Here is a 10,244-nt window from a genome sequence, read left to right as displayed (position 1 = left end):
CTGTATTCTAGTCATACTGGCCTTCTTTCTGTTTTTCAAATGTGCCGAACTCAGTTGCTGTCCCTTTTTATAGAAGACCTTTGCCTGGTTCCTCATGATTGGCTATTTAAGATTTTTCAAGTCTAATCTTAAATGTCACCTCTTAGAGAAGACTTTTGTGACAACACTATTAAAGTATCTTCACTATCACATCACACTGTTGTTTTCCTTTCCTAACACTTTCCTGTAGGAAAAAAACTTGGTATTTATTTGTTTATTTGTATATCTCTTTTCTCTCTCTTCAAGAGCATATGCTCTATGAGAACAGGAACTTACGTGCTTAGCAGATTTATTATTTATTATTTATTATTATTTTTTTTTTGAGAGGGAGTTTCACTCAGTCACCCAGGCTGGAGTGCAGTGGCACGAACTTGGCTCACTGCAACCTCTGCCTCCTGGGTTCAAGCGATTCTCCTGCCTCAGCCTCCCTAGCAGCTGGTATTACAGGCATGCATCACCAAGCCTGACTAATTTTTGTATTTTTAGTAAAGACAGGGTTTTGCCATGTTGACCAGGCTGGTCTTGAACTCCTGAATTTAGGTGATCTGCCCACCTTGGCCTCCCAAAGTGTTGGGATTACAGGCATGAGACACCACGCCCGGCCTCAACAGGTATTTTAGAATAAATAAATAACAATAATAACACATGACTATTTTAAAAATATATATATATCCATGGCAGGCAGTAATGAAAGAACAATTTTGGTGAGCACTCACATAGTCACAAACTGACAACTCCCCACTGGATGAACTGTCCTATAGAGTGGTCCAGTCAGAGCCAGGGTAGGCTGCTTGGTTATGCTCCAAGGTAGGCTCAAAGGAGTTAGCACTGCAGTGATACAGTCAGTCCATTTAAGCAAAGCTTTCTAATGCTTTTACATCAAATAACTTGGTGGTTTACTTACTAATGTTGGTAATTTATTAATTCCCTTCACATAATAGAAATACTCTCATAATTCTGCTTAGGTACCCAAACTTTATTTTCCCCTACACACACATAATTTCCCTAAACTTGGAATAGGTAAAATTTTTACACCAATCAGAAGAGAGGAAGAGTTATAAAGTTACTCAATTAAGCCATAAACTGACCAGATTATAGAGCAGAGTCACAAGGTTGAGTCTGGAGATACTCACTTTAATTTATAACTACTAATTATTAATGAAAAACATTTCTAGAAACAACTTATTCAGAGAAGGTGGTTTGTCTAAGAGATTAAACTATAGTTCTGCTACAAAAAAAGTTGATTATTTATTTATTTATTTATTTTTAAGAGACAAGATCTCACTTTCTCACCCAAGCTAGAGTGCATAGCTCACTGCATCCTTGAACTCCTGGGCTCATAGAATCCTTCCACCTCAGCCTCCCAAGTGGCTGAGACTACAGGTGTGTGCCACCATGCCTGGCCTGAAATGACTATTTTCAGAAAACTAAGGGACATGTCTTGCTATAGAACTGTGGATATGGTGCTCATGTCATGTATTTTCAAATGTAGGCTCAATTTCAAAAACCTTATTTAAAACTAGATTTATGGAGGTTTAGGGTGACTGTCTGAATCTGAATATTTTTACACGCTGTCTCAAAAAACATAAGAGCAACAAGGAAGGCAAATAAAATCACATATGACCCAAGTATTCAGCATTATTAAAAGTAAAAGGATACTAAAAGAGTCAGATTAGGTGTAAATAAATAAACACCCAATTTCTGACAGAGTTCCCATGGCTGTTGCATACCTGCAGGTATGGATGATAGGAGAGGGGAGGCTTAAGAAAGTCCATGAAAAGAGGACAGAGTAAATATATGCATTAAGGAAAAAGTATTCCTAAGGGGGCAAGAAAAGGATTCAGCAGCAAATGCACAAGTATTGGCCTGATACTTGGTAATTCACATTACTACAGGAAAGATACTTGAAAGTGAGAACTGCAGTGACAGCCTGAGAGAAGAACTACTTCTAGGGAAGAGAGATAAACAGAGAAGGGTGATGCCTCTTGGGAAAATATGGTAGTAGAGGAAAACAAAAATACAAAGAGGAGGGAATTAACAATCTTGCAGAAACAAAAGGAGAAAAAATAAACCATCACCAAAATAAACATAAGGAACCATTAACAAAACTACATTTCCATAAACTAAGAGATAGCTTTCAAACAAAGAATCTTGTCCTTTAGATGCTCACAAATAGAAATAAATCAAACAAATTTTATATATGGCATTGAAGTAAGAAAACAGGAGGTGTGAATCAAGATTTCAGTTGAGGAAATTTCTCCTTAAAAATAAAACAAGCCACAAAGCAGAATAAACCTATAACACAACACTTAAGTCTTAGTTTAAAATCCTCAAACAGGAATTTGAAGGTATTTTTAGAAAATACAAAAATTAAAAATGCGAAAGCTAAGAATACAAATGGTCCCAAAAAAAGCACCATCAACAAAATTTCCACTGAAAGAAAGCAACAAGAGTTTAGTAAATTACATAAATCATATTAGAAAAGAAGGATAAATTACCAAATGTTCAAGGGATAATAGATTTAAATGGAAATTTAGTAAGGAGCATTGAGGAAAGAGGGAAAGAAAAGAAACCACAAAAATGAAGTGAAATAAAGAAGTAAACACGTTTAGAGAGATAGTAGGTGATATAGAAGACAAAGAAGACCTAACACACATATAATTAGAAACCCAGAAGAAGGAAAGCAACACAATCAACAGAAATAATATTTAAAACTATAATCTAACAAGACTTTCAAAAGAAAACTTTAATTTAAAAACTGACTGCCCATTGTGTACCTGGGAAAACTGACCCAGAATAATAACTCTGAGACATATCCTAGTAAAATGATTAGGTTTTATGAGACAAAAACAAAATCATCAGCATCTGCAGATAAAACAAAATTATAAGGATTAAAAAAAGTAGGCTGGTGCCAGAATTTTCATAAGCAACATAAAAAGCAAGGTCACATTAAAAAAAAAATAAGCACACTTTTTAAAAACCTAGAGAAGGTGTGAGAAAAATATTTTATATGCAGCCAAGTCATCCTTCAAATAACAAGCTTATGAAATAAATAGCTTTGAATTAAAAGAAACTCAAGGTGTATTATTTTCGTGCTCTTCATGAGTAGTCTATCACAAGATAAACTTCACCAAAACAGATGCCTGGGGAAGCTTATACAAAAGGACCAAAGATGAACATTTAATGTGTTTAACTGTAGAACTAACACTAATACAAAGTTGATATGTGAATGAAAGAACAGTGTGTAAGCATTACATATACTGACAAAGTAGAAAGAACACAACTAATAGATGGAAGGAGAAAAGAAAGAGAAAGGAGAGAGTGGAATAAGAGCATTGACTGTAAAGGTGATAGGCGGGAGTCAAAGAATACCATGTACATTTCACAAACTGCAGAGTAAAACATTAAGGAAGAAATAAGGTTATTAAAGGCACTTAAAGGTGTGCATGAATAGGTAGTAGATAATACAAATCACAAGACTTTCTAAATACAAAAGGAGATTTTCAAATAAAGGAAATAAAACTCCATAAATACAGAAAGGCACATAGTAAATATAACATAATAGACACAATAATTATAACATAATATGACAGAAACCAACATAATTATTGTACCATTGAATATAAATAGGCTTTACTCATCTACTAAAAGAAAGCTCCTTTTGAATTGGCTCATAAAGCAACTCAACTCTGCTGTGCACAAGAGACACACATAAAACATAATAATTCAAATGTGCTAGAAATAAAGGCATTAGCAAAGCTATATTAGGCAAATGGGAACAACAAGGAAGCAGGAATTGTGTTTCTGACATTAAAGTAAAATTCAGGGCAGAAAGTATTAAATGAGAAAAATGGGCACTTTAAAATATTAAAAGCCACAACTTACAATGAAGATATGAAAGTTATGAATATCTAAGCACTAAGTAATACTACAATCACTTAAAACAAATGAGAGGAGATATAAAATAGAAACACTATATTTATTTGATTTTAATGTATTACTCTCAGTGTAAGACAGGTAGAAGAAAAAAAGGATTAGAGAAAATGTAAATAACATAATCAACAATATAGGTCTTATGGAGCTATATCAAACATGACACTACATAGTGATATGGAGTATAGTTTCTTCTCAAGTACACATGGACTAGTTACAAAAAGAAATCATATGTTAGATCATAAAGAAGAAGGCTGCAACTTTCATAAGTTGAAACAATGACAACACACTCTAGTTACAATGTAAAAGAATGAGAAATTAAAATAAAAATGGCTTTTTCACACAGAAATAAAAACTGTCCACTAAGTAACTCTTGGATAGAAGGGGAAACACAAACAGAAATAACAAAATTTTCTGGAAAAAAAGAATGATAAAAAACTACCTATTACAATCTGTGGGATATATTTAAAGAAAAATTAGAGAACTCAGAAACTTAAGCATTTGTTTCAGGGGTCAGAAAACTACTGGTCACAGTAGTGGTGAACTCTAACTCACTGTCTGTTTTGTATGGCCTACAAAAAGTGTCATACTTATTCATTTAAGCATATTCTGTGACCGTTTTTGCACAACTGCAAAGTGGAGTAGTTGTGAGAGACTGTATGGCCCGCAAAACATAAAATATATGTTATTTATAGGCCCTTTACAAAAATAGTTTGCCAATTCTTGCTCCATATGTATCAATAGAAGATAGATGAATTGTAAATAAATAAATTTCCCATTCAAAAAGTTTTAAAAAGTAAGCCAAAATAAGCAGAGTGAAGAAAATAATGGAGATAAAAACAGAGATTAATGAGGTAGTGAACAGAAAACAGTCTTTCAGACAAAAATCTTGATTCTCTAAATAAGTCAACAAAATAGAAAAAACACTAGCTAATTGAGTAAAAATAAAGGAAAAGAAATGGCAAAAATTACTATTGATATATAGGAGAAATATATATGTAATATATATCGATCATATATTATATATGTAATATATATTAATCATACATAATATATTTTATAAAATATATAAATATATAAAATATAAATATGTATTATATACATGATTAACATAAAATTAACATAAAATATATATGATACATATATATCTTTATAATGTATGTATTGTAAAATAACTAAATTTAGATATATGTTGAAAACTGAAAATACAGCAGATAATTTCTTATGATAATACAGTTTATCAAAATTGTCTCTGGTAGACAACATATTCATTTCCATAAAAGATATAAAGATCCCTCACACCCATTAGGATGACTACTATTAAGTAACAAATAGAAAATAAAAATAAAATTGTTGACAGATGTGGAGAAATTCGCATCCTTGTGCACTGTTGGTGGAAATGTAAAATGGCATAGCCACTGTAGAAAAAGTATAGTGATTTCTCAAAAAATTAAAATAGAATTACCATATGATCCAGCAATTCCACTACTGGATATATATCTGAGAGAATTGAAAGCAGGGTCTCAAAAGATATTTGTATACCCATGTCCATAACTATTGTCCTAATATATTTGGGCTACTGTAACAAAATATCATGGAGTAGGTGGGCTATACGCAATAGAAATTTGTTTCTCCACAATTCTGAAAACAAGGAGAGACAATGTTGTAATTTCTATTTCAACAGTCAGTAGGCTTGAGAACCAAGAATACCCAATGCTTCAGTTTGAGACCAACGTCCCAGCTCCAAAACGTTCAGGCAGAAGTTCCTGCTTTCGCTCGGGAGATTCAACCTTTTTGTTCTAGTCAGACCTTCAAGTGATTGGGTGAAGACCACCATATTATCATTCTACTGATTTGAATATTAATCTCATTCAAAATTACCCTTGCAGACACACCCAGAAAAATGTTTGACTAAATACCTGGGCATTCTCTGGCCCAATCAAGTTAATGCATAAAATTAACCATCACATTCAGCAAAAAAAGTGTCAGTATAGAACTACAAGCCTCCACTCTGTAAAAATTTTAGTTAAGTGATGGTTTGGAAGAGGTGGAGGGGAAGAATGTGGGAGATTTGAGAGGAAACAAAAGAGAGTTAAATCTTCAGCTCTTCAGATGTTTAGAAAATAACTCATAGATGACAGATGATTTGTAAACATACAATTTACAGTTTTGAGAATTAATACTAGAAAAACATATCAAAAGAGTTGCAAATGGCTGCCTCAGGGAAACAGAAATTGTGAGTAGGAAGAAGTAGAGCAAAGGGACAACTACTTATAATTTGTCATAGTAATAACTTTTTAAAAATTATGTACCCTCCTAAGAAATTGTTCCTGGTGGAATATTTGAGGAGTTAGTTTAGAGACTATATTAATTGGAATACAAATAAGAGTACCTCATCCTGACACTTAGCATTCACTGACTAATATCTTGGTGAAATTCAGTCTTCTATTTATTTGCCAGGGCAAAAAATATAATTTTAGAAATGTAGGTCTAATAAAGAATACATTTATGTACCCTTCCTGAAAAAAATAATAATACAAACATGGACATCTGGTGGTTGAAAAAATGGATTAATATAATAGAGAAAAGGGTAATCAGGATTAAAAGAGAGATTTTCAACCAGAAAAGAGAAGTAGAGGGATCAGTACATCATCTTGGAAGAAGAATATTATAAACTCCGGAAATTTTAAGACCAAATTATATCACCTGGGAAGCAGAATATTATAAACTCTAGAAATTTTAAGACCAAATTATAACTATAATTTGAAAGACAACTTCGATTTTATAACTATTTTTGTTTTTAATTACAATATTTAATTTAGTTTGAAAAATCAGCTAAACATTTTTAAGTTTTTCAAAAATGTACCTCGATAATACATTTTTTTCTAATCTGAACAACAAACTATTAAAAAAAACTAACAGTGAGCAACAAAAAGTATCTGAATCAGAAACATCAAGTAATGGCCACAGAAGTAGCAGAATCTATTAAATACTGACACTTAATAAAACTTGCTGAAAGGCAATTTTCAATGTCAAGGCTACCACTAAAAGAATACAAACAAGACATATATAATCCAAATCCTGGAAGAAAGACTTCCAGGAAAAGAAAATAGAAAAAAATAAATTTGCAGCCCATCCAATATCCTTCTTTTTTCACCTTATCTTTTCTTGGAATTACTTTGAAGCATGATTGTTAAATAGTTAAGCCAAAACTTTCAACTATCATGAAATATAGCAGAAACCAGGCAACTTGGAATAAAAGAACAATGAGTTCTCAGATTTAAATAGTCTTTTTGGAGTAGCCCCTGTGTGCCAGATTCCTTTAGAAAAGGCAGGATTTCATCACAAATCCTCAAGACGGGTTATCCTTATCCTCATTTTTACAAATGGGAAACTGAAACTCAGAGAAAGCTAATAGCTTGTCCAAGGTCATAAATTTAATGAGTTTCAGGGTTGTGGTTTAAGTCCAGGAATTTAGACTCCAAATTCCACTATTCTCTCAATAACTTCTTACTACAGCTTACTGAACTTCAACAGTGCTCAAGTTGGACAAGTCAACAACTTTTTTCTTTCCTCCTTTGTTGTGCTGACTTTCCTTTTCTCATTGTTTATGCAAAGAATGAAATCAACAAAATTACGTCTGCATTGTGCCTAAGTAAACAGAATGTGCTTACTTACAAGATGGAGTAGCACACATTTGTATTCCATCATGCCTCTGGCATCAATCTCAACAAAAGTGAAAAGAAGGACAATTCTAGCTGCTTCTAAATTTCCCTTACATTCTAGGAGCTGTGCCAAGTGAAATCTTGCAGTTTAACCTAACCAAAAAGAAAAAAAAAAAAAAAGTAAAAGAACAAAAACAAAAACAAAAAGAAGTTTGCACTTAATCTAGTAAGCAAGCTCACACACACTGTTCTATTATTTATAACTAATCCCAATAGTAGCCAATAAATTTCTCATTTTATACTAAAAACTCTAGTTACATAAATTTTTCAGTGTTTCTGAAATTATGAGAATACAACACAAATATCCACTTCCCTCTGAAGAAGGGGAACCAACTGTCAAATTGTCAGTATATGGGTTTCTCCAGAAAAATTCCTATTTTCTGCATAGCACTGGTGATGCTAGGATGGAGGAACAATGCTGCTATGATAGGTTCACCTGTCATCTCTGTAGTCCATCCAACTATCCATCCTAAATAGAAGGTTTGGACATTTGGACAAAACAGGCACTTGAAGAGCTGAGGTATAGCTTTTCTGTTGAAAACATTAATGCTCAACTATATTGAGGAATTTATACCACAAATTATACACTATATACTTACTATATTGGAGAATCCAAAATCCAGGTTGAAAAAAAAAGTAAAAAGTGGAAGGGAAAAAAAAGGAAATGTTTCCAAGCAGAAGTCAAAACCTTTTGCATATATGTAAGTGAAGTCAAGGCATATTTCACATGCCAGTTAAAGTAAAACTTGTTTTATTTGGAAATAACTTGTATTTGCATAATTTCAATGTAAACTTGCTTGGCCATGCCAAGCTTAAAAAATTAATCACTTTGCTCTTCTTAAAAGAGATGAAAAGAGACTTTCATTTTGCATTCACATTTTCTGTGGATTTGTTTTTAAATAAAAGGAAAAGAGATTATCCTAAAGGACTATATATAAAAATATTGCAATTGGAATATTAGTTGAACAATTTTAGAAAATTTAAATACGTTTGGAAAATCCCAAAGAATCCAACTGGCAGTGCAAGTCCCGAACTTTTACAAAGTAAATGAATGCTTCCTTTAACAACTTTCAAAACATTGTCATTTGATTTCTAGCTGAAGTTTTCTAATGACAAGAAACAATGACAAGGGATTTTTTGGCGTAAGATTTCTCCCCTTGCAATTTTGATGAATGAAAATGCTTTACATTGAGTCAAATTCCTCTTTTTAATTTTTACTTATTGATTGTAGATTTGTCTTCTTGACTAATACAAAATTAAACTAATTACTCATCTACTTACCATTGTTCTATATATTTGAATACAACTAGCATTTCTCTTGAATATGTTGTGTTCTACAGTGTAAACACTTGTAGGTCCTTCAGTGCTTCCTCATGTTAACGTGGTTTCCATTTTCTTCCTCATATCACTTAAATTCCATTGGAGGTGCCAGTGTTTGCAGATGTCTCTATTTAAACATGACATCAATTACTAAACATAATATTCCAGATGTATCATGACCACTGAGGATTAAAATTATTTTGCCTTTCTCAGTCTTTGCAATATCTTTAATATTCATGATATATTTATATTATTCTCTAGTCAACTAAAACTTCCTGGCTTTTTTTACCCACATAAACATCTATATCAAGTTCTTCTCATCCTATAATTTATTTTTTTAATTAAAATCATTATTTCTCTGGAATCTAGATTCTATTATCCATTATATTACTTTTCTCTTCCAGTTTTGTGTGATTAGATTTGACAAGTTAGCTTGTGTCACTGTGTTATTGATATAGTGTTAAATAAAAGAAGATCCCTTAAGGTATATCTTAATAGAATATATTTAGAAACAATAGTTCATCTGCTTTTAAAATATTCCTATCTGTATTATCATCTAATGTACATTGCTCTTGGGATATTCTTCAGCAAGATCTTGAGACATTTTGTTAAAATTTCAATGAAAGTGATTCATAGTAATTATATGTAATTCTCCTGACTTAGCAGTCTATTTATCCCAACCCCCTAAAAAGAGTATAATTTAAGTTAATTTACACTTAGTGGATCCATTTTCTAAGTAAATAACACTTTTCATTCCAAATTCTCACAGACCAATTGTCCTGAATTTCCTGTTCTTTTACTGGATGACTTGATTCAGCCTAATTCCATCATTAGCAGAAGACAGTCCATGTGAGTGAGTATGAGTACGTGTGTGCATGTAAAAGACAAATTTGTTTGAATCTATCCATACAATTTTGAACAACTAGTCTCAATCCTGAAAGCCTGAGTGTATCTCTAGGTTTAAGAAATAGTTGAGAATCAATGATATAATTGTCCCTACATTCCTCTGGGTGAAAAGATAAAAATACATGAAAAAGAGGTTTTTAAGGTGTTGGACTGATAAAATAAGTGCCGAATGGCTCTGCAGAGCAAGTTACACCAAGTTTTAATGTCATGCAGACAATAGAAGGAATCATTACATAGTAAATTTAACAACTTACACAGACATTTATGTGAAATTTTTAGTTTCAAAGTAAAGTTTTAATTTTACATAAAAATACACAGTTT

Source organism: Homo sapiens, chromosome 12, assembly GCF_000001405.40.
Source record: "Homo sapiens chromosome 12, GRCh38.p14 Primary Assembly".
Lineage (NCBI taxonomy): Eukaryota > Metazoa > Chordata > Mammalia > Primates > Hominidae > Homo > Homo sapiens.
Note: the sequence above shows the minus strand (reverse complement) of the source record.